This window comes from Homo sapiens, chromosome 12 (genome assembly GCF_000001405.40).
Source record: "Homo sapiens chromosome 12, GRCh38.p14 Primary Assembly".
NCBI classification, from domain to species: domain Eukaryota; kingdom Metazoa; phylum Chordata; class Mammalia; order Primates; family Hominidae; genus Homo; species Homo sapiens.
In genome coordinates this window covers 11,634,735-11,662,561 of record NC_000012.12, presented here as the reverse complement: position 1 = coordinate 11,662,561, position 27,827 = coordinate 11,634,735, and the positions used below count along the sequence as shown (strand labels likewise).

The following is a 27,827-nucleotide window of genomic DNA, read 5'->3' as shown; positions in this document are numbered from 1 at the left end:
CACAGCTGAAATGAAAATGTACACAGACCAACTTTCCCTTAAATCAGACTGTTCAACATGATGGCTAACAACGAACGCACACACAGGCATTCCCCCTAGTTCGGAGAAGCTCCATTTGGCCATTTTACCAAGTTTTTCAAGACAGAGAAATTCTCAGAAGAACTGGCTAGTGACTGTCAGAAGAATGTTAGTGATTTGTGCCACTGGGCCCACCTCTTCCCTCTTTGCTGCAATAACAAGGCCTTTCAGTGGGACCTGCTGGCTCACCTACCTTTCTTCCTTCTTGCATTTTTAAGGTTTTTTGTTTTTTTCCACTCTGGGGCCTTATCCCACATCTCTCCCAGCAGGGCAAACTGCCTTGCACCCAAAAGATAAGTAAATATACTTGCTGTCTATGTCAGTGGCTCCTTGTTCATTTTCTAAGGGTAGATGGCTTCAAAAAGATAAAGTGTTGGGAAGGGTGGGAACATGCAAGACAGGTGTACTACCAGGTGCCCTACTTGAGATGTTACCTAACACCGAGGTCCTTTTGCTCATTGCCCTGCCTGTCTCGGCGAAAGTTAAAGATACTCTTACAGCACGCTGCAAAAGATTAGAGGATCATCACCCCAGCCTTGCTGTGCTCGCCAACATTCCCCCTGGATTCCATTGTGTTCCAAAGCCACATCTGACCTACAGCTGACTTCTGCCTGCAGAGGAGCACACCCTCATCTCCTCACTCACAGCCCTGCCAGACACAAGGAGCCTCAGAAATGCAAAGAGGCAGAACACAAAATTCAGAAAGGGAGCCTTTGTTTCTTTGGTTCTCTGAAGGAAAACACTCTTACCTCACCAACAGGTATGCTCTCTCCTTCCACCTCACCCGAAAGTATCAGCGTCAGCAGATGAAGGGAAGGACTAAATGGCACAAAATCAAAGGAGCTGGCTGTTGTCCAGGGGACTGGAGGTGTAGTCAGCCAAATCAGGTCATTCAGGTCTCAAAGTCGGGGAGAACAGGAGACTTACCCAGCCTGAAGAATCTGTCACCCAGACTTTATCCCCAAAACAACAACTCTCCTACTGGGTTCACCCCACTTTGAATAAAGACCAGATCAAAAGGTACAAAGTGAGAGTGTCCTGCTGTTCCCAGCCATTGCTGGCCATTAGTGGCCGTCAAGACCTATTAGTCAGGAGAGTGACGGGTCTCAAAAGTGCAAAGCACCAGTCAAGTGAACTCATGACACGGATCTTTAAAATCTCCCAGATCTCAAGTCAAAATGAGGACAAAATGGCTGGGCACAGTGGTTCATGCCTATAATCCTAGCAGTTTGGGAGGCCGAGGTGGGAGGATCACTTGAGCCCAGGAGTTCTGAGAGCAACCTGGGCAACAAAGCAAGACCTCGTCTCCACAAAAAGTTTTTTAAAAAAGTAGCCAGGCAAGGTGGTGCACCTGTAGTCCTAGCTACTCCAGAGGCTGAGGCAGGAGGATCACTTGAGCCCAGGACTTTGAGGTTACGGTGAGCTATGATCACGCCACTGTAGTTCAGCATGGGTGACACAGCAAGACCTTAAAGAAAAGAGGATACAGCAATTACAAAATGCACCACGGATCCAATCCTTCAGATGTGCCATTTTTCCAAAACCTGTCACAGGGACTTGGGTTATGAGTATCCAAAGAGGCCCAAAGAAAAAGAACTCACCTCTGTCCCTTTGGGTGCCTGGTCTGTGATCCCAGGTCAATACATGAAAATAATTAGCAAAACCACAGAGGTGAGCCAAGAGACACTACCATGAGGCTTACTCTAGCAGGAGTCTGATTTGATGGCCAAGGGCAGTTTGGGAAAGACAAATGGTCTGGAAATAACAACCAGCAATAAACTTGAGAGAAGTTTCCTTCCCTAGTCTGAGTTCTTTAAAGCAGTTAACAAAAGAGCTTAGCAAATTCCCACCATGTCCCCCATCTCCCTTTTTTTTTTTTTTTTTTGAGACAGAGTCTCACTCTGTCGCCCAGGCTGGAGTGTAGTGGCACAACCTCAGCTGACTGCAACCTCCACCTTCCAGGTTCAAGAGATTCTCCTGCCTCAGCCTCCCGAGTAGCTGGGATTACAGGCACCTACCACCACACCCGGCTAATTTTTGTAGTAGAGACAGGGTTTCACCATGTTGGCCAGGCTGGTCTTGAACTCCTGACCTCAGGTGATTCACCCGCCTCGGCCTCCCAAAGTGCTGGGATTACAGGCGTGAGCCACCACGCCCCGCCCCATCTCCCTTTTTATGAAGTCTCCATAATACTTCCTCCTGTATACCCTAGTGCAGATCTACTTGTCCACATATTAGTCACTAGGCTTGAGACCATACTTATTCTAAATTGTCTCTTTGATTTTTTTTGTTGATATATAATAGTTGTACATATTTTGGGGGTACATGTGACATTTTGATATCTGTGCAGATGTGTAATGATCAGATCAGGGTAGCTGGCATATCTATTGCCTCAAACATTTTTCTTTTGTGTTAGGAACAGTACAATTCTTCTAGTTATTTTGAAATACACAATAAATTGTTAACTCTAATTTCCCTATTATACTAATGAATACTATAACACATTCCTTCTATCTAGCTGTATTTTTGTGCCCCTTCGCCAACTCCTCTTCATCCCTTGAACTTGATTCTTCATTAGAGACCCCGGCACTCTTCCAGGCCACACCTGCAAGTGAGGTGGGCAGCTCTGGGCCCTCCCTCTTCCTTCCTCACCTCTTAGCAGTGCCAGAACTTCCCCTGCCACAACCCAGATTCACACTTTCACCAGGGAAACAAGAGAAAGTACTGGGGGAATGGTTAACTTCAGAGACAGGCTGTTCTCTGGGGTTCGATTTTTTAAATTACGAGCCTTACTTCTATCTGTAGCTCATTTTTTCCAGGAAATGCTTTAGAGTCTGCATGTCATCTTTGGTTATGGCAATCTTACGTATAGGGGACGTAAGTGAAGCAGGATTACTGACCTCATCAAAGAGATAAGTCCTAAGAAAGATAAAGTTACACGGCCTGTCATAACCCAAGGGAGAGGGGACAGGGCAGCTGAGAAGAAAATCACAAACTTCCACTTGTGGTTTCCAGGAGAAGATCAGAGGAGCAGTTTCTCTCCAAACCTAAACTCTTGCTTCAAGAGTATTAAGTAGCCCACACTTATTGCATGGTGGTAGGAGGGACAGGTGGGTAACATTTTCTCCACAATTCCTCAAAAAAGGGTTATTTTCCAGTCTATAGTTCATCTTCTCATCTGCCATGTACATACAAAGAATGACTTAGGATCGAATTTAGGTCCACAGCAAGAAGAATACAACTGCTGAAAAGAGACACTTCGGTCCCCTCACATCTGCTAGAGAGGAAGGTTTCCCCATGCCCCAAAGTAACAAACTTGGCCTTTTCAAACTCTTCTGTATAATTAAACTTCCACGAAGGGCCATCTACTCCCTGCTCTTGAAAGTGAACATTCACCAGCCCACAGCAAACAGTGTCTGTTCTGTGGTCAGACAGACATGGAACTGCCTGTTAAACAAAAGCAGACTGGAGAATTGATGCTCTCTTTCAAGTCTCACCCCAGTCACAAATAATAAGCAACTGTATGAAGGAGCAGATCCCTGAATAGGTTCAAATACTTGAGCGCTGAGTAATAATGCTAGTTAGACTCACTGTACAGTACTTCCAGACTTAGGTTTTTTCCTTTTCTTTCATCTCTGGAAACTTATTCAGAACCACATTAGCTATTCCTTCAAAATTCTGCTGTAAGATGCAAAAGGCATTTGCTATTATCATATAATTGCACTTGGCTCATCTCTCCTATTGTTGAGGCTTGTATTCAATTAAAGTTAAAATAAGAGCTTTTTTGAGCACTGACTGAGTGACCCCAGCCCTGTGAACAACTCAATGGGACAGTGACAAGAGCACTGTGCAGGGAGTCAGCTGACTCGGGAGGCCTAGATTTTAGTTCAGATGGCACCACCAACTAGCCACACGAGCTTGAGCAAGGCCATTAACATCCCTGGCCGGGGGCCGGGGACAGTGGCTCACGCCTGTAATCCCAGCACTTTCAGAGGCCGAGGCAGGAGGATCAATTGAAGTCGGGAGTTTGAGTCCACCCTGGCCACCATGGTGAAACCCTGTCTCTACCAAAAATACAAAAATTGGCCAGGTGAGTGGTGCACAGCTGTAATCCCAGCTACTCAGGAGGCTGAGGCAGCAGAATTGCTTGAACCTGGGAGGCAGAGGTTGCAGTGAGCTGAGATCTCGGCATTGCACTCCAGCCTGGGTGACAGAGCGAGACTCTGTCTCAAAAACAAAAACAAAAACAAACCATCCCCTGGCCTCTGTATTCTCAACTGTATAATGTGGGCACAGAACCAGAAAATCTCTAGCCTCTTCCAGATCCATGTGTTATGGAGGATGTATAAAGGAGGAGGAGAACTAACTTTTTAACAGTATAAAGCACTACATTGGGCAATGTACATATCCCAACAACCCTAAGAGACACATTTTTATTACCACTTCAGATGAGTTAACAGGTTCATGATTAAGTAGCTTGAACAAGTTCAAGTTCAGGAACCAGGATTCATGGGTCTGTCTACTCCATTGTCTGTACTCTTCCCCTAGGAGAATTCACAGCATGGCAGTGAGGTAAAGCCCTTTTCTGAGCACCTTACAATCTCCTGAAGGGAAGTCAGCTTTACAGGTAAGAACCAAAGAACAACATAAGACAGAAGAAAATGTAAGTCAAAATCGAAAGACGTGGTGACTGGAACTACACTGTGGCAACACTAACACCATTGAGCACACTCACCAACTGGCACTCAGCAGGGCAATGCGTCCTTTTTGGGTCATTCAGGAAATGAAGTCGTTTTCCGTATATCTGACTCCCACATACAAAGGGAAAATACCCCCAGGGAGGCCATCAGGCCTCAAGAACTTGCAGATGCATTGGCTACCTCTTTTGTGTCTTCATGGGGGAGTACTTTTCATAAATCATTCATCCACGTAACTGAAGCTTAGCCTTTTAAAACTTAACATTATTCTTATGCCAACCATTTTTGTTAGATATCTTTCCAAAATACATTGCATTCTTTCTTCACTTCTTAAATCTCATAACATGAACTCTGTCTTTCACTTGGAAGTCACAATGATGAACACTAATATGTCATGTGAATCTTCAAAAGGAAGCTATGCTTTCTGAATTCTTGCCTGTTTTTTCTCATTTTTCCTCTGCTATGGTGTTAGAGGAACATGGACCTAGGATGGAACACTGATTCTGACTCTGGCTTGATCAGTTAGGAATGTGATCTCAGGCAAGCTCTTTAAACGCCACAAGACTCAGTTTCCTCATTTGCTTCATGACAAATTTGGATAATGCTCTCTGAATCCCCTCATATTATCTCCACAACACATCTCTCTCTTTCTCTGTTTCTTTCCCTACATTTGCTCTGAAGACTCTCTTCACTAGAGTCGTTCAAAATCAGAAATGTATAAAGTCAGATGGCCGAAATGCTCTCTTCATTCCAGGAAATTAGAACAGGCGAGTTGGGTCAAGCCATCGAGACAGGAGTCAAAAAAAGATGATTCCTTTTGTTATAGGGGAAAATGAGGGAATATCTGAAATAGATTCCTGGAAATCACATAATATTAAAGATGTACATGAGAGATGGTTTAAGAAAAACAAAAATTTGTGTTTATGGATTGTGTGAAAAGCTTTAAAAGGAAAAAAAAAAAAGTTGTATAAGGAGAAGCAACTGACCAGGAAGTAAAAAGCAGGCAAAGAAGGTGTCTAGCCCGAGGCCGGGCAGGATGACACAATCTCTCAGATTTCCAACCGCTTCATGAAGAAGCCATTAAGCACCGGAGGAAGCAAGAAAAACACAAGGAAAAGAAAGGCATCTGAGAAAAACAACAAGGGCCCAAAATGAAACCCATCAAAGACAAAATTTCACCAGAGGACATTAGAGACTGGGGTAAATATGGAAAACTTAGACATTCATTCCACAGTGGGTGGTGGCTTTGTGTGACCATCTGGTTGTCCCCGCTACTTGTGTAATGGCTAGGAAGACCCATCTTCAGAAGAGACCAGGAAGCAGAGGAAATTCAGAACCTCTGCAAGCACTTCTGCCAGCTCTATTCCTGCCTCTCATCTCGGCTTATGTAACAATCCACCAGCCACCCGTCACTTCAAGTTTCCTAATTTTCTTCGCAAAAATGGCTGCACTTTGGAATGCCCTCATAGAAAATACTTTGGAATTAGAGTCCCACAGTAGAGATTCTGGCCTTAGCTTTGCCACTTACAGCCTGCGAGGTCTTAGGCCAATACATCACTTAACCTCTCTGGGCTTCAGTTTCCTCATTTGTAGAATGGAGAGAAAAACTGCATCCATAGAGAGCTGTGAAGAGTAAATGAGATAATGTATATAATGTATATAAAACAGCACAAGGACCAGCATGCAGTAGCATTCAATAAATGATGCCGGTGATGATGATGGAGGAGGAAGAAGAAGAGGAGGAGGAAGAGGAAGAAGGAAAAGGAGAAGAAGAAAGTGTTTTGTAATAAATCACTATATAGCTGTAAGCTACAACTGGTTGTTGTAGAACAACGGCCACTAAAACAGCAGACGAACACCTTTAATTACAGAGAATTTACAAAGTTTCAGAAATGCAAGCATTCTACCGTTTCCTGTAAGCGAAATCCATAGGGCTGAGTGAGCAGTTATGCTCATCTGAGAGTCCACACTTAACACGGGGCAATACCTTTTCTAATCAAGCCCCTCGTCCACACTCTGGGAATTCCAGATCATTTAGACAACGACCAGGCTGAACTCTGTATTTTTACTAAGAAGAAAAGGTTATCAAACAAATTAACAGAGCAAATAAAATGTGTGGTAATATTTTGACACTAAAGGAACAGTTCCAAGCACATCGTAGCACTAGTTTCTACCCAATGGATAATGTGGAACACATTCTTGCCTATTCATTGGAACGTTCCCTGAGATGCCCCAGTAAGCAACACTTTATTAGTTTGGTTCCTGTATGTTTGGAAAATCAATAAAAATGTGTTTGTTTTTTAATAGGCTATAATTCTAACTTTTTACTAATTTAGTCTAGTCTTTCTGTCCCCAAATACTAGGTTTGGCAGTGAACAGTCTTTAAGCTGGGTCCCTTTTGGCGTGGGAACCCTGAGTAAATGCACACTCATTCTATTCAACAAATACACACGGAGATTGGTTCCCAACACACATCTAACAACAAATATGGAAGTGGTGGACCCTTACCTGAAAACAAGCTCCAGGATTGTCTCTAAAGTAGTATTCACATAGAACAAACATGTCATTTCTATATGGCACACCTTACGGGGCTTCATCTGACACTGAATCACTTGGCTGGGAGATCCACACCAAAGGGCAAGTTTTAAAAATTGGTGAAAAAAATGAAACTGCTGTGTGAGTTACTCTCAGCAACCCTGTGCCCCCACCTTGCCCCCAGCTCTTTCCTGGTGTGCACAAATACAGCTGCACTCAGAGGAGCAGAATGTGACTTAGCTCTACCTGCCTCTGGTGCTCACATCTGGGGTATTTTTTGCCCTTGACTTACTTATCCTGAGCAGGATAGCTACTTCTCTAGGGCCAGCTGCCACATTTTTAGCTTTGACTGTTTGAAACAGGGAGCTTACTACACAGAAATTAAAGTATAAATAGGATTGTCTGACCCTTGATAAAAGAGCCTACGGCCCACCCAAGGATTCCTCAAAGGAGTCCTAACAGCAGATAGGGGGCCTTCAGCCCAAAACAGAACTTGCAGGCCTTTGTGCACTGTAAAAAATATATATATATACATATATTGATGCAAATAGTGGTGCCAATACAAGTCCGTCAGGCCCTTCTTCTCTCATCTCCTCCCTCCTACTACTTCCTCTTCTCACACCTGACCAGACCCCAGTGGCCCATTTCTACCCCCACATACCATCTTCCTTGGCACATACCCCCGTGCCCTCAGACCAGCTGGCTTGTGATTAAAATGGACCAAGCTAGGAAGTGCCAGAGAGAGCGAAGCCTATTATATCGAGTTTCCTTGGCCTTTTATAGGGACACACCATGAACCCAGAGAATGCAGTGGCCTAAGAACCTGTAGGCCTGTGTCCTCCAAACCTGGCTCACTCACCCATGGGTTGAAGCAAACCCCTTAGCTCTCTGGATCCCCTCCCTGTAAAAAATAGAGGAGGTTGGCCCAGGGGATCTCTAAGGTCTCTCAACTCTGAATGTTTGAAAGTTCCCTGATTCTATTGTCAGAAAAACTGGGGGGCACTTAGAAGCCTGCTAATCTGAACCTGTTAAAGCAATTCCTTAAGCCCCTTTGTTGTACCTTTTCCTCAATTTCCTTCTTTGTTATTTTTGACACAAAAGCAGTTTTTGAGAATTTTATCAAAATAATAAAACATTACGCTGGACGCAGTGGCTCACACCTGTAATCTCAGCACTCTGGGAGGCTGAGGCGGGCAGATCACTTGAGGTCAGGAGTTCAAGACCAGCCTTGCCAACATGGTGAAACCCCCATCTCTACCAAAAGCACAAAAATTAGCCGGGCATGGTGGCGGGCACCTGTAATCCCAACTACTTGGGAGGCTGAGGCAGGAGAATTGCTTGAACCTAGGAGGTAGAGGTTGCAGTGAGCCAAGATCGCACCACTGAACTCCAGTCTGGCGACAGAGCGAGACTCTGTCTCCAAAAAAAAATTATAAAACATTATTGTATCAAAATTCTATTAATAAGCATTTGAGGACAGACCCCCCAGGAGTGCTCTAGCCCTCTCTAAGGCTGTAGTGGGCCCTATTGAGTGCTTTCTGCAAGCAAGCCAGTGGATGAAAGTGTTACGTCACCCTGAGGTTACACGCAGACAGAAAGAGGAAAGGGGGCTGGCCTCCTCCCACCTCTCACTTCATTCACATCAGCAAACATTACTGAGAAATATTTCTATGCCAGCTGCCAAGCTAACTACTAGGACACCAAGATAATCATCACTAAACCCAAGGAGCCCAGAGTCCAGAAGGGGAGCTCGAAAGAGTCTCCCAGTTAGTAGCAAAATTTTAAAAACCAGATTTCCTTCTGCTATGAAAGCTGACTGATACGGACAGCAGGGAAGGAGGGGACTAGAGACACTGTGTGACTCGTTTTTGGATTCTGGTTAGTCCTGGCCCACTAACAAGCTGTGCCAAGCCTGACAAGGGACCGTGTCTGCTAGGCCACAACCACCTTCCGCTGCAACTTGGTCAAACTTAGAACTGAAGAGGTGACTTGAAGGTGAAGGCTGATGATGGAAAAGACAGCCTCTTCCTTCTTCCTGTGACCAGCACAGTCAGCCAGGCAATCCTCTTTAAAACAATTTGACTTTTTATAGAGAGTTGATCCTTTCCTTCCATTTAAACGACCCCAAATGGTCAGGAATTGAAGCATTTGAACTTCCATGACAACAGTGCCACAACCTTCAAGGGTTGTAGGACAGACCCCCCCAGGAGTGCTCGAGCACTCCTGCTTTCTGCAAGTCGCGTGTAGAGAAACAATAAGGCTCAGTGAGAGTTTCAGTGCCCTTGGAGTAGTCAACCTCTCTTCTACCGTAAAAAGTGTGTGTCTGATATTAACTTCCCCAGGCGATGGGAGCAAACTTACACAGTGCAAAAGAAACAGAAAAGCCCTTATCAGGCATTCATTGCGAGCGACCACCACATGAGCCATCTTTACAAAGGCGTCACTGATTGACCAATTCAGAAACTTTCACCTTGGAAACTCCACCCAAATCGGACACTACTCTTTTCTAGCAGAGCAGGCACTGCTCAGAAATAAACAAAGTACTTCCCTCTGTGGCTGCATCTCACCAGCCGCTGAGGAACTGTCTGCCTGCTGACCCGCTACTTGTAAGGAATGAAAGCAAGTGAGGACGGTTTCAGGAGTGGAGAGGAGGACTGGGAAAAACCTCTCCACAGTGAGAGCCTTTTGTGTCACAGGAGTTCGGTATATCAGGTTCATCAGCTCATCCTTGAAAACCTCTGACATTCGTTCTTCACTACACAGAAAAGCATATTGTTTACTGGACTCTAGAAGCAAGCAACTTGCTTGTGGGTTACCAGCAAACATTTTTTATTATGCAGTCACCGTACCACATCCCAAGGACTAAATGAAACGCAGCACACATCACCAGAACATTTCAGATGACCTGGAATAATCCCAGTCCTTGATCTCTAGTGCTTATTATTGGAACACTGAATTAAACAAACTCCATGGAAAGATACTCTTCACATACGTTCACCTAGACACATGCAGTCTAAGCAAATACATACTCGTTCCATAAAGAACGATCCAAAATAAAAGTGATTCTTTCCTTTCTGGTAAAGAACATTAAATCTATTTTAATTACATAGAAGTACACAGTAATGAAAAGAGGCACCCTGAAAGAACTGAGTTGTAAGCAATAAGGAAAAAAATGATATGCAAATTACAGACAATTTTCATGTTGCATTTAAGAACGCGTTTTGCTTGGGATTGGTTCTGTATGTGAGTAAGGCAAGGGACTGTTGTACTCTTTTTCCGACTGGAGCACAATGAAACAAACCACTCAGTAGCAGTCTGCAGCCAGCACACCACCATAAGCCCATCAAAACGGTGGGGATGCAGTATAGAAGAGGATCAAGAAACGTCACAGAAAGCATTGTTTTTTGTTGTTTTTGCCCTAAAGTTACTGATCTGTAGTTGGCAGATTTTCCTGATGTCGGGTTTATTGCCACTGAGCCAAATACAATTTATTTATTGAATATCCTACTATTTAGTTACCTCTATGTTATGAAGCGTCAAATAAATTAGATTATCTATACCGCAGGATTTTCCTGAACTCTGTGTAGAATCTAATTTATACCGCAAAAGAAACTGGTTTTGAAGTATTAATATCAAAGTACCCTAAGTTCTTTAGTGTGGCACGCCCCATGCCCACAGACATACATACTGCTACCTCCAGTTATGTACAAACACAAAAGCCTAAAAGTTCCATTAGGCATTTTTGTGAGGCAAAAACAAAGAAGCCCAAACCACCTTTTGATTTCACATTAGCCTATCCTCAAACCCATGAATATCTTTTCTGATAAGAAACACCAAAATGTGATTCTAATTATAAAAAACCTAGTAAGCACGTATGATGAACTACTGCGTTTCCCCTACACAGACTCTAATTGAAAGGCAGTGTTAAACCAGGAAGGGTTTTTCTAACTCCCCACAGACGAAGAAAACAGGTTATTTGTTCATTGTTGCTGTAGTGTCCATTCAGTGAACACACATTAAATAGGCCAAACCAAAAACAAACTTCAGCAGCTTCAGCCTCTCACAAGAGCGGAAGGCTTTCTACCTGGGTACTGGTGGAACAGCGAAATGAATAAAGTGTACAATAAATGCAGCGATGGGAAAAATAACACGGGTAGATGGATAAATCATCCTGCCTCCCAATGGTGGCAAACTTTACAACAACTTTTTAGAAGCAACAAACCGCAGCACCACAGTCTTTACAGATATATAGACATGCATACACACAACTACTGGGTAGCCCAGCAGTGTGTTTACAAACATCTACCGCCCTGCATTTACAGAGTGCTGCTTAGATAGCCTCTCTGCACTGTCAAACACAGAAGGTCATTTTGCCTGGTTGCTTAGTTCTTCCTCTCCCTCCATCACAGGAGTTTTCTACTTTGGGATTGCTCAACTTTCATATGGATCGGAGTAAAATAACTATTCAGCAACTTTATTCACCTTGGTTTTAAAAAAAAATTCATTGTGCAATGCCTAGGAAAAGCTGACACCAGGACTGTCTCTCCGACAGCGCTTGCAATTACAATCAGACGAGGGGGAAAAAAATCCTGTCTGATCAGACCCAGAGAGTCCTTTAAAAAAATAAAAAGATTCTATCGCAGTGGAAACTGAACAACTTTTTTTCTAAGACGACCACCCCTCGGGAACAAAAGTTATATTTCAGTCACATGTTGGGTGTAGGAATAGGGAGCAGGTTTTTTTTTTTTGTTTTTTGTTTTTTTTTTTTTTAAGCGCACTAATTACGGGGGTGTTTTACGGTTCTGGAGACAATCCGGGTTGCTCTGACCAATTGTGACCGGCATTTCATTGTCAAAAAGCAAGGGGGTGGGGGCCGAGGAGCCGGCAGGGGCTCGGCGGTGGGGGGGAGTAGCAAGGTTACGCTAAAGGGTACAGCAGCCACCGCGAGCTGCATCTCTTTCCCTCTCGCCCCAAATAATTTCCTGCGAACAGAGCAACTGCAACAGCCTGCTCTGAGGAGCCCAGCACGACTGCCCTGGCCGGTGCAGCTCAGGGTTTCCACCACGTAGAAGGAGGGGAGAAGATTTTTACCTTAATGCTACACTGAGCAGGAGTCTCAGACATGTCTCACAGCGAGAGAGATCAGGAAGTTCTCAGGTTTTTTCCACTTTCCTTTCCTCTCCCCAACCCAGAAAGGCTCCACGGCCAGCCAGACGCGGTCATTTAAGAAGTTTCTTCCAGCATCTCTCCCGGCAGCCGCCCCGGGGGTCTGGAGCGCGCGGGGCGGGGCGGGGCGGCCGGCGGAGTTGGGCGCGCGGGGCGGCGGGGGCGTGGGAGACGGGCCCGAGCGCGGCGGCGGGGTCTGCAGGTCGCGGCGCGGCGCGGGGACCCGGGACGCAGCCCGGCCGGCCTCCCGGTCTCTCCTCCCACCCGCAGCCGGCGCCCCCGCCCCCCGCCCTCCCGCGGCTCTCCCTCGCTCTCTCGAATGTTTTCCTTCCTGGAAGAGAGAAACTGAAAGGCAGAACTGAGAAAGCTCTTTGCTCATTGATCTTGAGAGTTTCAGTGCAGAAACTGACGTGAATTCCCAGCACTGAGCTCTGCCTCTTAAAGGAGCCACCAGGAAATAAAAGCTCGGGTTACAGCCCGGCATCGGGGAAATAAAAGCTGCGCGGGGGAGGGGCGGCCGCGGGGGCGCGGGCGGAGGAAACCCGGGTAGCGGGGCCGCGTGGGGCCGCGGCTGCGAGCGGGGCGAGCGGCGCAGCCCCCCAGGCCGGCCCCCGGTGCGGGCGCCCGCCCTCCACGCCGCGAGACCTCCCGCTGGCCGAGCCAATTTCCGGGCTTAAGGAAGACACCTTTAAAAAACGTTACATTGTGGCCCCAGACACCACAAAACAGGTTTTATTAAACTCCTCCCACCTCCCCTGGCTCCGTCTCTTGGATACATCGATGTGCACAAGGGTTTTGAAACGTTTCACTAAGCGCAGATGCAACGAAAGTAATTATCTATGAAGGGCCATTCCGGTTAGGACGCGGAATCCGAAGGAGGAAATAAAACAATAGCCTTTGTTCTGCTTCTCGACCGCTGCCTCTTTAAGAGAATCCACCAGGAAATGGGAGATCGGGTTACAGCCTGCACACGGGGAAATGTGGGGAGAGCGGGCGCCCGAGCGCGACGCCGGAGACAAAGCCGGGGCGGCCGCGCCGCAGACGCTGGGGGACCGTCGGGCGGGGGGATTCCCGGGGAAGGTGGGCGCCCCGGAAAGAGGTGGCGCCACGCGCCCGCTCGGGGATGCGGCGGCCGCGGGCGCTTCCCGAGCCGAGCACGCGCTCCGGGAAGGGAAGGCTGCAGGGCAGTTATCAAAGGCAGCTGAGTTCCTTTTCCTGACCTCCCCCTCCTGTTTCGAAATCCACTGCCCTTTTAAAGAAATAGCGGCCGCTACCAACCGAAATAGGTGACTCGACTACAAAGTTGGCAGGACGTGTTCCTGCAGATAATACCCCTCCCCAGGACCGCTTCTCTGAAACCGTCATTGGCCGGTTGATTGGATGGCCCTGGGATCCTGCAGGGGGAGGAATATTTGGTTGGAAAAGCAGTTGAGGGGGGTTAAGGCCGTTGGGGCTGAAGGGTCTAGCCCTGAGCACAAGTGATCTGATCACTCTATTATTTTTATTATTATTTACACTCTCTTAAAGTGTCCACCACAAAAAACTGAGAACATTATCATTATACTTAAATTCTAACCTTGTTAGCACATATTGGGGGTTTAATATGTGGATGTGTAATGTAAAAGGAAATTTGTTATAATTTCTTAATAGAGTAATATATTAAATATGGTATAAATATGTATATACGCATATATACCCATATATGTTACCTGCACTGGACCAGGACACATTTCCCCGAGTCTCCCCACCCTACAGATTTTTCCTACCCACTTTCCTTCACCTCTTCACATTATCAAATGTGTTGAGACTTGTACACACAATATTTTTGTTCACACATTGATCAGATCATTACGAACGAGGCTAGGGTGGGAAAGAGTGCTGTTGCTGGGATGATGGGAACTGGTGGTTGTGAGCCTCCAGGAACCTGAACAGGTTTTGTCAACTGGTAGTCCTGCCCTCTCTCCAAGAGATCTCTGTCTTGTCCACACCGACTCCTCTGCCTTTGACCACCCCCTTCTCCCCTTTAACAATTTTCTGTATTCTTTTGCTTTTTTTTTTTTTTTTTTAAGACGGAGTCTGCTATGTCGCCCAGGCTGGAGTGCAGTGGTACGATATCGGCTCACTGGAAGCTCCGCCTCCCGGGTTCACGTCATTCTCCTGCTTCAGCCTCCCGAGTAGCTGGGACTACAGGTGCCCGCCACCGCGCCCGGCTAATCTTTTTTGTATTTTTAGTAGAGACGGGGTTTCACCGTGGTCTCAATCTCCTGACCTCGTGATCCACCCACTTCGGCCTCCCAAATTGCTGGGATTACAGGCGTGAGCCACCGCGCCCGGCCTCTTTTGCTTTTCTTAATTGATGTTGCAGACATTGGTTTAGATGTCCCATTGCTAGGTTATGTCTTCCACATCACTTAGCAATGTGATCCCTGACAACACAGTCACTAAGCTTCTGTAAAATGGGGAGAAATAGTACCTAGCTCATAAGATTATCTTATTAAATAAGAAAATATATACAAATGCCTCCTTAGCAGAGAGCTGCACAATATATGTGCTCAATTCAAGTTGGCTACAATTATTATTTAACCCCAGGACTAAATTAGTTCTCGACTTTTCTTCCTAACTCCTCCTCAACGTCTACAAGTGATTCATAGAAGTAGTAGTTTGAAGTAGAATGTTTGTGGTTCCAAAGCAAAAAACATAGTTGACAACTGTAGCAAAAACTACATTTAGACCAGGGGTTGCCAATCTCTGTAAAGGGCCCAGCTGTAAATGCCTTAGTCTTTGTGGGCCAAGAGACAAAATTGAGAATGTCAGGTAGATACTTATATAACACGAAGAAAAAAAAGTCCACAGTTTTTTATTTTGTCAATTCAAAGTGTAATAATAGCAATTTTAATACAGGTATAATAATGAAAGGCATGGAATTCTTTTGGGGGGAAAGTAACATTTCACTTGGTGTTCAAAGTGTTCTTTCATAAAAATTGACTGCAGATGTTCATCTATTAATGCTGATTTTTTATGAGATTTTATGTACTTCATTTTTGAAATGTCTTTCTACCCAGACAGATACCGCCAAATACTGATACCAACCCATGAGCACATGATTTTACTTGAGTGTATTCATTGCTTAGAAGGCATTTCTAAAATTCTATTAGAATTCTATAAATTCTCTTGATATTTCCCCTTTAGCATGCCATTACATTGCAGATTAATCACTTCCAGTTGAAGGTTAAATGGAAGCTTCTCAGTTGCACAGTTAAGTAAATTTTAAATATGAAAATTTCCTTTGCACTTGCATTGAAATTCAGAAAACACTGTTGGTACTGTAGTTTGAGTTCAGAAAAACATAACTGCTGCAAATTTGTGTTGGAATGGAGATCTTGCTTCTTGTTTTAACTTTTGACAGCATGAGAAGTGTGTAAAACAGCTTGACATTATTTGTGATTCAAACAATGTTAGTTGTGTCAAAATGATTTTACTGCAGTTTAAGTTTTGCATATAAGCTCTATTTTGCCTTGTAGTTTTAGGTTAAATTCATAAAGAAACATTATTGAGTCTGTAGTAAAAGCTTATTTGCAGAGCCATTCAGTGTTCAATAACAGTGGTTGAGGGAAGTTTTTCTCATTCATTCATTTCCATTTGTCGCTTGTTTCTCTGTTCCTTGTTTTCTGAGAACTTATGGGTAAATTGGATTTTTTTCTTTCATATTCCATTTAAATTACTAGATTGTCTTTTTAGATTTTCTTCTTTATGTTAAATATGGTGGTTGCTTTAGAAATTACAATTTGCGTATGTTATTATCACAGGCTACCTTTAAATAATATTATTCTATTTTATGAATCTGTAAAAAAGTTACAATGTAATTCCATTTATCCCTCTCCCATCCTCTGTATTGTTGTGTTATATTTTACTTCTATATGTTATAAAATTCATTTTACATTGTATTTTTATGGTATTTAGAAATTTGTAAATATATGCATATAATGAATGTATTAAAGTATGTCTCTTTTTAATTTGCCCAGATATTTATCCTTTCTAGTACTTTTTTATTCCTTTTTGCAGATCTGGTTTTCCATCTGGTATCTTCCCTTTGGCCTCAAGAACTTCACTCAGCATAGCCTGTGTGCTGTTTGTTGGAGAAGTCTCTCAGCTTTTGTCTGCCTCTAAATGTCTTTAGTTCATGTTCACTTTTGAAGGGTATTTTTACTGTACGTAAAATTTTATGTTGACATTTTCTTTTCTTTCAGCACTTTAAACATGTCATTCCTCTTCTGACTTCATATTTTGCTAAAAAATCACTTGTAGTACATATTTTGGTGCCCCTGTGTACAGTGTACACTTTTTTCTGTAGCTGCTTTTAAGATCTGCTCTTTAAATTAGGTTTTCAGAATTTTGACTATGATGTACACAGGAGTGGTTTTCTTTGCATTTATCATTTATTCACCTTGATGTCAGCTGCAGTTATTGGATCTGTGGGTTGGTATCTTTCATTAGTTTTAGAAAATTGTCATTTATTATCTGTTTGAATATTTTTACACCCATTCTGTTTCCTTTTTTTATTCTTAATACAAGTATTAGACCATATATTATTGTTCCATGTATCTCAAATACTCTGTTTTATTTCCTTGTATTTCCTTTTTTTTTTTTTTGAGATCAGCTCAGGCTGGTCTCGAACTCCTGTTCTCAAGCAATCCTCCTGTCTTAGCTTTCAAAGTGAGATTACAGTGCTAGCCACCACACCTGCCTTGTTTCAATTTGAACGCTTTCTACTTATTTCTTTCTAAGTTTTCTTCCTCTGATTTTTTCCAATTTACCGTTAAGCCTATGTAATTCATTATTTACTTTCTTGCTCTGTCTCCCAGGCTGGAGTGCAATGGCAGTCTCAGCTCACTGCAAGCTCCACCTCCTGGGTTCACGCCATTCTCCTGCCTCAGCCTCCGGAGTAGCTGGGACTGCCACCATGCCCAACTAATTTTTTAATATTTTTTAGTAGAGACGGGGTTTCACCCTGTTAGCCAGGACCATCTTGATCTCCTGACCTCGTGATCCACCCGCCTTGGCCTCCCAAAGTGCTGGGATTACAGGAGTGTTCCACTGTGCCCGGCCTGATGGTTTCCTTTTTTGACTACAGATCATATTTTCTTTTTTTGTTTTTTGAAATGGAGTCTTGCTCTGTCGCCCAGGCTGGAGTGCAGTGTCGCGATCTCGGCTCACTGCAAGCTCCACCTCCCGGGTTCACACCATTTTCCTGCCTCAGCCTCCCTAGTAGCTGGGACTATAGGTGCCTACAACCACGCCCAGCTAATTTTTTTTTTTTTTTTTTGTATTTTTAGTGGAGATGGGGTTTCACTGCGTTAGCCAGGATGGTCTCGATCTCCTGACCTCATGATCCGCCTGCCTTGGCCTCCCAAAGTGCTGGGATTACAGGCGTGAGCCACCGCACCTGGCCCATATTTTCTTTTTTTATATGTATCTGTGTGTTTCCATATTTTTTTACTGTGTGCTGGACATTTTTATGTAAAAATACAGTAGACAATGAATTAAATTTAAAAATTAAAAATTAAATTTAAAAAATTTCTTCCAAGAAGGAAGTTGGGGCTCAGTTGATATGATCTGGAGTTGGGCTGGGTTTGGGCTTTGATTCAACTTTAGTTTGATTCAATTTACTATAGGCTTCAAATATTTTGAAGGCAGGATTAGAACTTTTCCTATAAGCAAATATTGTCTTAGAGTTGTTATTCTCACCTTTTCTGCCCTGGTTAGTGTCCTCCCTAGCTTCAGGTCTTACGGGAAGATCTTTCTGCTCCTGCTCTCCCCTCCCTGCACCAGTCTTTCTTAGCTGACAGCCTGGAGTGCTGGGGATTTTCTTTCAGCTCTCTTGTCCCTCTACAAGTCTTTCTTAGCTGAAACCCCAATGTGTCTCTGAAAGTTTTAATAACTCTGTATTGCCCTTGTTTTTGTGGTCCTACCCCAGGAGTTAGTGAATATCAATGAGAAATAATTGCGAGGTAGTATGGTTTTGCTCTGTGCCTGTGGCTCCTGTGTATTCTAACCTGTCGCATCAGCCACACACTTTAAAATATGTTGAAAGTTAGGCTGCTTTCTCCTTACCATTAATTATGGTGATTCCTCCTCTTTCCACTTCAGTCAGGGATGAGAACTGTGGCTCTTTCCTCTCAATTGAATGATTGTCCCTTTCTGAAGTTTAGTTCACCTATGTTTCTTTGTGCTTTCATATCTCCGATTTTTTTAAACTATAATTATTTAGATTATCTGGTTTGTTTTGGGTGTTAGAGAGTGAATTACGATCTCTTAAGACTTTCTACACACAAACCTGTATGATTAGACAAACCTGTATGTCTAATCTTCATTCTCCAAAAAGAGTCATGTGGAGGGGCAAAGAGTGGGGAAGGATGAACATTTAAGAACATGTGGAAGTGCCAGACACGGTGGCTCACGCCTGTAATCCCAGCACTTTGAGAGGCCGAGGTGGGTGGATCATGAGGTCAAGAGTTCAGGACCAGCCTGGCCAAAATGGTGAAACCCTGTCTCTATTAAAAATACAAAAATTAGCCAGGTCTGCTGGTAGATGCCTGTAATCTCAACTACTTGGGAGGCTGAGGCAGAGAATTGCTTGAACCTGGGAGGCGGAGGTTTCAGTGAGCCGAAATCATGCCACTGCACTTCAGACTGGGCGACAGAGCAAGACTGTGTCGCAAAAAAACCAAAACCAAAAACAAAAAACAAACAAAAAAGTGGAAGTGGATGCATTTAATTTGAAAATTTATAGTCGTTATCATATAATGTTATATTTGAAAAAATGAAAGTAATTGCATGTTAAACAATACAAACTACAAAAGCAGATGCTATCGCTATATCTATGCCAGACCAGAAATTCCTCATCCTAATGGGCATGTTTCCTTAAGAAGGGTCTGTCATAACTGGTGAAAAGGGAAAGGAGAGGAGAAGTGTGTATGCTTATCCAAATAAGACATGGAGTTTTAAATATTGAGAATTAGTGCCCTAAGCTGTATGTTTAGGGCATACTGTATAATAAAGACTTTATTATACAGTCATCATACAATCAGAGAAGCAGAAGTGTGTGTGTGTGTGTGTGTGTGTATTCTGCTTCTTTGATTGCATGCTGACTGACATCATAAAAGAAATATATTTAAGGCAGCCATTTGGGAAGAGAAGATGGATGTAAAGTGGGTGAAACAAATTATAAGCTAGAACTCAAAAGCATGAAGTGGATCTCGTGAGAGTGAACCAAAACCCATATTAATTCTCATTGCCTCTGACCTTGATGGCCTGGGTGTTCCACACGAGCTGGAGTCCTTTGCCACAGAACTAAACACCCACATACCCGGCCCAGGAGTTGCAGAAGCTGAAGAAGGATCATGTTAAAGGTGGAGTAGTTGCAGCCCCAGTCACTGGCTCATCCCCATGAGGTGAGCCAACAGTTAAATGACCATGTGCATGAGCTAAAAAAATGTTTGCTGCTTTATATCTACCCTCCAAATCACTCCAGACTCTCCCTCTGTGGCCCACCATAACTAGAATCATAAAGGGAATTCTGGGAATGTAGTTCAACCTAGCCAAGTTGTCACATTATAAAGTCACTGCATATACTAATCAACTTTCCATCAGCCCACTCTTTGGCAGCTATATTTTTAGAATATTTCACAATTTTTGTCACATCTTTTTCTACCTGACCTTCAAACTACTGTCTTCCATATGTTTTCTCTTTATGGCTTCGCCACCTTTCTTACCAATGCCACCATATTGTTAACCTTTGAATTAATGAACCTCAGAATAAGTTTTGACATATTGATCTCTTCTATGCTTCATATATTGCCTGTTGCCAACTTTTTCTGTTTTATTCACAGATTCTCCTCTATATTTCCAGTTATCTTTCTAGAAGTAACAATTTTCTGGTTTGGATTCTTGCCATGTCCCTTTTTCCACCACCAAATTGTGTAGTTCATTTTCACTATTGAATCTTTCGTCTCTGCTAAAACACTATATTAGGTTTCTCTAGAGAAACAGAATCAATAGGATATAGATGGATGGATAAATAGATAGATACATAAGAGGAGATTTATTATGGGAATTGGTTTGTGCAATTATGGAGATTAAAAAGTCCCAAGATGTGCCATCTGCAAGCTGGGGAACCAGGAAACTGGTGGTATAATTGAGTCTGAGTCTGAGTCCAAGGGCCTGAGAAGGAGAGGAGCCAATGGTGTAACTCCCAGTTCAAGGCTGAAGGTCTGAGCACTAAAAGCTTCAATGTCTGAGGTCAGAAAAAGACAGATGTCCCAGCTCAAGAAGAGGAAGACAGAATTTGCCCTTCCTCCACCCTTTTGTTCTATTAGGGCTCTCAATGGGTTGGATGACACTTACCCACACCGGTGAAGGCAGTATTTTTACTCGGCCTATTGATTCCAATGCTAATCTCTTCCAGAAACACCCTCACAAACACACTTAAAGTAGTATTTTACCAGCTACTTGGCCATCTTGGCCCAGTCAATTTGACACATAAAATTAACCATCACAATCCTTACTTCATTATTCCAATTTCTATTTTTAGTCCTTGTTCATATTCAAAATTCACACAAACACACACACACACACACACACACTACGAAACCATTTGTTTTCTGTTAAGTAGTACCTGAAAACTACATCTTTCATGAATTCTTCTCCCATTGCTATAAACAGAAGGTATCCAAAAGATAAGCAGACAGTATGCTGGAGTGGATTTATTGTGTAAGATCCCTTCGTTAGGACCTGGGAGGGTCTCCTTTAATCAAAGCTTTAAGAAATGCATTGTTGCTGGGCAGGTTGGTGCACATATGTAGTCCCAGTTACTCAGGACACTGAGGTGGAAGGATCGCTTAAACCCATGATTTCAAGGCTGCAGTGAGCTATGATTTTGGCACTGAACTCCGACCTGTGCAACAGAGTTAGGGGCTCATCACTAGAAAGAAAAGAGAGAGAGAGCCAGAGACAGAAAAGAAAGAAAGCAAGAAGAGGGAAAGGAAAGGAGAGAGGAGGGGAGGGGGAGGGAGGGGAGAGGGGAAAAGAGGGAAAGAAAGAAAGGAAGAAAGAGAAAGAGAGAAAGAAAGCATTGCTGAAGCAAACACCAGAACCCTTTTGGAGTTCTATAGTAGCCATTCTCTGTAAGCCATTAATGTTGCCACCATCCCACAATTCACTGGGGATAGTGGGATACTGGAACAGAGGCACCAAGTGACATCACGTAACTATCTTTACTGCTAGGGACAAGAGAAACATGGTTGTAATAATGGACAGCAGAACTAAAGTGATAATCAGAATGGTTTGATCTTTGGTGTTGGCTAATTTATTTTGATATCCCTAGAATTAAGGTCGAAGTGGGGAGATCACTTGAGGTCAGGAGTCTGAGACCAGCCTGGCCAACATGGTGAAACTCTGTCTCTACTAAAAAAAACCAAAAAATTAGCCAGGCATGGTGGCGCGGGCCTGTAATCCCAGCTACTTGGGAAGTTGAGGTGGGAGAATCACTGGAACCTGAGAGTTGGAGGTTGCAGTGAGCCAAGAATGGGCGACTGCACTCCAGTCTGAGAGACAGACCGAGACTCTGTCTCAAAAATAAAATAAAATAAAATGATGGGTTACTAAAGCCTTACTTGATTTATATACACACAAAAAAAGTTCTAGGTGTGGAGTAGAAAAGTCTTGAGTTAAATTCCAGAGCAGTCCCGGATCCTCAGCTGATTGATTGCCACACCTGATCTAGTCCATAGACACAGAGCCCCTTGAATCAAGGGGAAGCAAGGCCTTTTGTGGAAGAATGCTGCTAGACTGCAAAAAATGTATTGTAAATCTTACTATCCTTTCCCAAAGGGATCTGTGGCCACTTATCAGTGTGATTGTACCTTGTGGGAGGGGAAATAAGTAGACTTTGGGAGGACTGCTGCACACTAGCACTGTTCCTAGAAACCCAAAATGTCACTGTGGTGCACCAGTCACAGTAGGGCCTTAAGAGGTCAGGAAATAAGTGGAGGTTTTGGCCTGAGTGCAACTCATAGTGGGTCTGGTGGATACCTGAACCCTAGGATTATTTTCCCAATTCTAAAATGCAGAGGTGGAATTCACATATTCAGCAAATGGCAGATTCCCAAATTGATTCCCCAAATTATGGGCCGTATTAGTCTATTTTCACACTGCTGATAAAGACATACCTGAGATTCGGTAATTTATAAAGAAAAGGAGATTTAATGGACTCACAGTTCCGCAGGGTGGCTGGGGAGGCCTCACAATCATGGAAGAAGGTGAAAAGCTTATCTTACATGGTGGCAGACAACAGAGAAAATCAGAACCGAGCAAAAGGGCTTTCCCCTTATAAAACCATCAGGTCTCGTGAGACTTATTCACTACCATGAGAATAGTATGGGGGAAACCACCCCTATGATTCAGTTGTCTCCCACTGGGTCCCTCCCACGACATGTGAATTATTGGAGCTACAGTTCAAGATGAGATTTGGGTGGGGACACAGTTAAACCATATTATGGGCAGTAAGGAATTTTATGATAGAAAAGTCCAGGAAGGAGTCCCTAGAACTGTGCCTACCTGCTAAAATAGTAAATCAAAGGCAGCATAGAATTCTTGGAGGGATTGCAGAGAATGTGCTACGATAAAAGGCTTAGAGGATGGATGGTAAAGATTATAACTGCTTTTAATTGTTACGGCCAGCACTACCCCTCCACTGTCCTATTTTGAGCCTTTATCAACCCTGAAGCCCTCTGTTATAATCTAGTCTGAAAAGACATTGATTGCCTCTCAATTCCACAAGTTATTATTCTACTCAATTATGGTGATGCTACGCTGTTGACTGGACTGGATAAGCGAGAAGTAGCAAATAGCCAGAGGACGAGAAATCAACTTCACCAAAGTTTAGGAGCCCTCCACTTCAGTGACTGCCCCCTCTGATCTGGGACATGGTCAAGATACCTCTTCAAAAGTGAAGAACAAGTTGCTGCATCTAGCCCTACCCCAAAGAAAAAAGCACAACTGCTAGTGGACTTCCAGTTTGCAGTGGGGCCTAACACAAGGGAAGGCTCTTCAACAGGTCCACGCTGCATGCCAGCTCCTCTGCCCTCGGAGCCCTTTGATACAGAAGATCCACTGATACTTGAAATGTCTCTGACAGATTGGGAGACTGTGTGGGCCCTTGGCTGGACCCTATCTGTGAGTTATAGACCTTCAGGACTGGGAAGCAAAGCTATGTGCCATCTTCTAAAGATTAACTTTCTCTTTTTAATAAATAGCTTCTGATTTGCTACTGAACCCTAGAAAAGACTGAATGCTTGACTTTGGACTATCAAGTTGTTATGCAATATGAACTCCCCATTATGAACTTGATGTTGTTTGACTCACTAAGCCATAGGTTGGGCGTCCACAGCAGCACTCCAATATAAGTAGAAATAATATATCCAAGATTGGGCTTATGTAGGTCCCAAAGTCATAAGTAAGCTGCATGTGTAACTGGCTCAGATTCCTATGGCTCTTATTCATATTAAATTGGCTTCTCTCTCTCAGTCCACACCCATGGCCTCATGGGAAGTTCTCTCTGTCCACTTTACTAAGGAAGAGAAAATTCAGGCCTGATTACAGATGGTTTTTCAAGGCATGCGGGCACCACCTAAAAGTGGACAGCTGCAGCACTGCAGGCCCTCAAGGGGCGCCCTAAGGTACAGTGCTTAAGGGAAATCCTTCCAATGGGCAAAACTGAATATGGATTTGTTTTTTCTGCCTGCAATGCTCCTGGAAAAACAATCCTTTCCGAACTTGCAAAATGCCGTATTCACCCTCATAATATTCCACACCACATTGCTTCTGACCAGGAAACTAATTTTATGCCAAGTAAATTACAGCAATGGGCTAGAACTCATAAAGTCCACTGGGCTTGTCATGTTCCTCATCATTTTTAGGTAGTTGGTTGATAGGATAGTAGATGGCCCTTTGGAGACTCAGCTGTGGTATCAGCTGGAGGGCAACACGTTGCAGGGCTACAGTAGTGTCTTCCAGGATGCATTTTTTTTTTTTTTTTTGGTAGGGAGTTTCGCTCTTGTTGTCCAGGCTGAAGTGCAATGGGGTGATCTCAGCTCACTGCAACCTCCACCTCCTGGATTCAAGAGATTCTCCTGACTCAGCCTCCCAAGTAGCCGGGATTACAGGTACGCACCACCACACCCATCTAGTTTTGTATTTTTAGTAGAGATGGGGTTTCACCATGTTGGTCAGGCTGGTCTCAAACTCCTGACCTCAGGTGATCCACCCGCCTCGGCCTCCCAAAGTGCTGGGATTACAGGCATGAGCCACTGCACCTGTCCCAGGATGCAATTTGTTGCACTGAGCACGCAATAACTGTGTGGTGCTTATTTTCCCCCTCAGGTCAGAGAATTAAAGGGAGAAAATGCGATTGGCTCCTCTTATTACTAACTTTAATGGCCTGCTAGCAAAAATTGGGTTTTCCATCCTCCCAACTTTGTTATCTGCTGTTTTAGAGGTTTTAGTTCCCAAAGGAAGAGTGCCTCTACTGGGAACACAACAGCAGTTCTATCAAACCAGAATCTGAGACTCTAATGGGGCCATTTTTAGCTCCTTATGCCACTGAACCTACTGGCAAAAAAAAAAAAAAAAAAAAAAAAACGGGCCGGGCACGTGGCTCACGCCTGTAATCCCAGCACTTTGGGAGGCCGAGGCGGGCGGATCACAAAGTCAGGAGATCGAGATCATCCTGTCTAACACGGGGAAACCCCGTCTCTACTAAAAATGCAAAAACAAAAAACAAAACAAACAAAAAAAAAACATTAGCCAGGCATGGTGGCGGGCGCCTGTAGTCCCAGCTACTCGGGAGGCTGAGGCAGGAGAATGGCGTGAACCCGGGAGGCGGAGCTTGCAGTGAGCCAAGATTGTGCCACTGCACTCCAGCCTGTGCAACACAGCGAGATTCTGTCTCAAAAAAAAAAAAAAAAAAAAAAGCAAGGGGAAGGTGCGGCTTACTCTCCTAGCTAGCATAATTTATTCTGATCCTTAAGGGAAAATTGGGTTGCTACTACATGATGGAAGCAGAGAGGAGTATCATTAGAATTGAACAGGTCCTTTGGGGGCACCTCTTTATACTACTTTGATGAAAAGTTGATAGAAAACTGCAACACCCAATACAGCAGGACTGTAAATGTTACAGACCCTTCAGGAATGAAGGTTTGGGTCATCCTCCAGGAAATCTGGGGTGCCTGTTGAGAGCAGAGAATGCTGAGTGGATAGTGGGAAAAGGAAACTCTAAATACCAGCTATGACCATGTGACCAATTTGCAGAAATGAGTTTGGTAGTAGTTATGAGTGTATTTTTTCTTTGATATGAATTTATTTAAATACGTATGTTTAAACACACACCACCTTTGTTCGTCTTTTCTTTTTTCTCTCATTCTGCTATCTAACATAACGTATTAACTTTATCCATTAGTATTTAAGTTACAGCGTACCAAAGGGGGAATGAGAGTGGGCTAAAAGATAAATCGACATCATCCAAAGATGGATCTCATTTGTGTATCCTTTAGGGCAGCGGTTCCAACCTTTTTGGCACCAGGGACCAGTTTTGCAGAAGACAATTTTTCTACAGACCAGGAGGTGGGGGTGATAGTTTTAGGATGATTCAAGGGCATTACATTTATTGTGCACTTAATTTCTATCATTATTACATTGTAGTATATAATGAAATAATTATACAACTCACCATAATGTAGAATCAATGGGAGCCCTGAGCTTGTTTTCTTGCAACTAGACAGTCCCATCTGGAGGTGATGGGAGACAGTGACAGATCATCAGGCATTAGATTTTCATAATGAACATGCAACCTAGAGCCCTTGCATATGCAGTTCACAATAGGGTTCATGTTCCTGTGAGAGTCTAATGCCATGGCTGATCTGACAGTAGGCAGAGCTCAAGCAATAATGCTAGCTTGCCCACTGCTCACCTCCTGCTGTGCAGCCCGGTCCCTAACAGGCCATGGTCCAGTACTGGTCCATGGCATGGGGGTTAGGGGTCCCTGCTGTAGGAGACTGGATCAATATCTTTTTAGGTATATGAAGGCCTGTTCCATCTTAAGTGGAAACATACTTTTGCTATTATCTTTATCTGGAAGTGGTTAAAAGAGGATATATAGTTACCAAATTGAAAAAGAGGGACTACACTGAATTGCTATGACATTTTCCAAAATTCCCTTTCTCTTGTGATTCTGAATGAGAGTTGGCCAAAAGAGGAGCCTGCATGAAATCTGGAAGGCAGACGTAGAGGTGTAGCTTTCGGAAGTTTCTGGCAGTTGGATGTAGTGATGGATGCAGAGGTCCCCATTGGAACCAAGCTTGTCCTCACTCTCCTTAAATTTCATGTTCTGCCGTCAGAGGCAATAGTTTTCCATAGATCTCTCTAAAAGCTGCCTTTCTGTAGTCCCATTTGGGCAGCTGGAAATGACTGGCCTCTTGGGTTTCCTTGCATGTTTCAACTTGTCCCCTTGTGCCAATATTTTCAGGTGATTCATTACTGACTGCTCAGTGGTATGGTTCATGTAGGAAAGGCATGATAAATCCTTGATTTTTCTCTCTTTATTTAAATAGTTCCCTATCATCTTCCCAAGGTGATCAACTAGCTTTTCCCCCAAATATCTAAACTCATGAATTGAAACATATTTGATCTGTTTTCAATGTGTTGCAATTAATGCCCTTATTAGTGTTCTAATTGGCCATCCTTAGCCACCTCTCAAGTTTTAATATATAATAGTTTTGTTATTTGGTATATAGTATTCTTAAATTTCCATCATTATTTCTCCTTTCACCCATGCATTATTTAAAAATATAGTTTCCTTTTAAATTTTCAAGAGTGTGGGATTATTTATTTTTTATTGGCTCCATATTTTGTTGCATTATGTTTCAAAGATTGTTGTTGTTTGATGCCAATATTTTGAACATTGCTAAAGTACCTTACGGTCATGTACAGAGGTCAACAAATTCTTCTGTAAAGGGCCAGATAGTAAGTATTTTAAGCTTTGTAAGTTTCATTCATTTTTTTCACTGTACTAATTTTTTACTTTACATAATTTGATACCATTAATACTATCTTATTAGATGCATGTTTAGAATTTTTATATCTTCTTGGTGAACTGAGCATTTAAAAATTGTTATGAGTGTCCCTTTTTATACCTAATAATTTTTTAGTCTGAATTTTATATGTTTCTGATAAAAATACAGCCACATTGGCTTTCTTTTAGTTATATCTGCTTATTACATCCTTTTCTTGTCTTCTAAA

The 27,827-nt window shown here is 43.3% G+C and overlaps 1 protein-coding gene across 9 annotated transcripts in view, besides 8 other annotated features; it reads right to left on the bottom strand.

The window, feature by feature from the left end:
- Window positions 1-12,888, bottom strand: part of ETV6 (ETS variant transcription factor 6) — a 245,704-nt gene extending 232,816 nt beyond the window's left edge. For all 9 annotated transcript variants that reach the window (XM_047428502.1, NM_001413914.1, NM_001987.5 and 6 more), the window contains exon 1: window positions 12,402-12,888. Coding sequence is in view for 6 of the 9 variants with exons in the window: in NM_001987.5 (NP_001978.1) it covers window positions 12,402-12,434 (33 nt within the window). In the remaining 3 variants the exon portion in view is untranslated. The remainder of the gene's footprint in view (window positions 1-12,401) is intronic.
- Window positions 7,768-7,927: an enhancer, noted in NCBI's record as "active region_5971". NCBI's record gives its function as "activates an Ori minimal core promoter by ATAC-STARR-seq in GM12878 lymphoblastoid cells {active_cell/tissue: GM12878}" and the evidence as "EXISTENCE:reporter gene assay evidence [ECO:0000049][PMID:35858748]".
- Window positions 9,359-9,408: an enhancer, noted in NCBI's record as "active region_5970". NCBI's record gives its function as "activates an Ori minimal core promoter by ATAC-STARR-seq in GM12878 lymphoblastoid cells {active_cell/tissue: GM12878}" and the evidence as "EXISTENCE:reporter gene assay evidence [ECO:0000049][PMID:35858748]".
- Window positions 9,739-9,848: an enhancer, noted in NCBI's record as "active region_5969". NCBI's record gives its function as "activates an Ori minimal core promoter by ATAC-STARR-seq in GM12878 lymphoblastoid cells {active_cell/tissue: GM12878}" and the evidence as "EXISTENCE:reporter gene assay evidence [ECO:0000049][PMID:35858748]".
- Window positions 12,536-12,695: a silencer, noted in NCBI's record as "silent region_4245". NCBI's record gives its function as "represses an Ori minimal core promoter by ATAC-STARR-seq in GM12878 lymphoblastoid cells {active_cell/tissue: GM12878}" and the evidence as "EXISTENCE:reporter gene assay evidence [ECO:0000049][PMID:35858748]".
- Window positions 12,706-12,755: a silencer, noted in NCBI's record as "silent region_4244". NCBI's record gives its function as "represses an Ori minimal core promoter by ATAC-STARR-seq in GM12878 lymphoblastoid cells {active_cell/tissue: GM12878}" and the evidence as "EXISTENCE:reporter gene assay evidence [ECO:0000049][PMID:35858748]".
- Window positions 12,966-13,175: a silencer, noted in NCBI's record as "silent region_4243". NCBI's record gives its function as "represses an Ori minimal core promoter by ATAC-STARR-seq in GM12878 lymphoblastoid cells {active_cell/tissue: GM12878}" and the evidence as "EXISTENCE:reporter gene assay evidence [ECO:0000049][PMID:35858748]".
- Window positions 13,466-13,705: a silencer, noted in NCBI's record as "silent region_4242". NCBI's record gives its function as "represses an Ori minimal core promoter by ATAC-STARR-seq in GM12878 lymphoblastoid cells {active_cell/tissue: GM12878}" and the evidence as "EXISTENCE:reporter gene assay evidence [ECO:0000049][PMID:35858748]".
- Window positions 13,886-13,985: an enhancer, noted in NCBI's record as "active region_5968". NCBI's record gives its function as "activates an Ori minimal core promoter by ATAC-STARR-seq in GM12878 lymphoblastoid cells {active_cell/tissue: GM12878}" and the evidence as "EXISTENCE:reporter gene assay evidence [ECO:0000049][PMID:35858748]".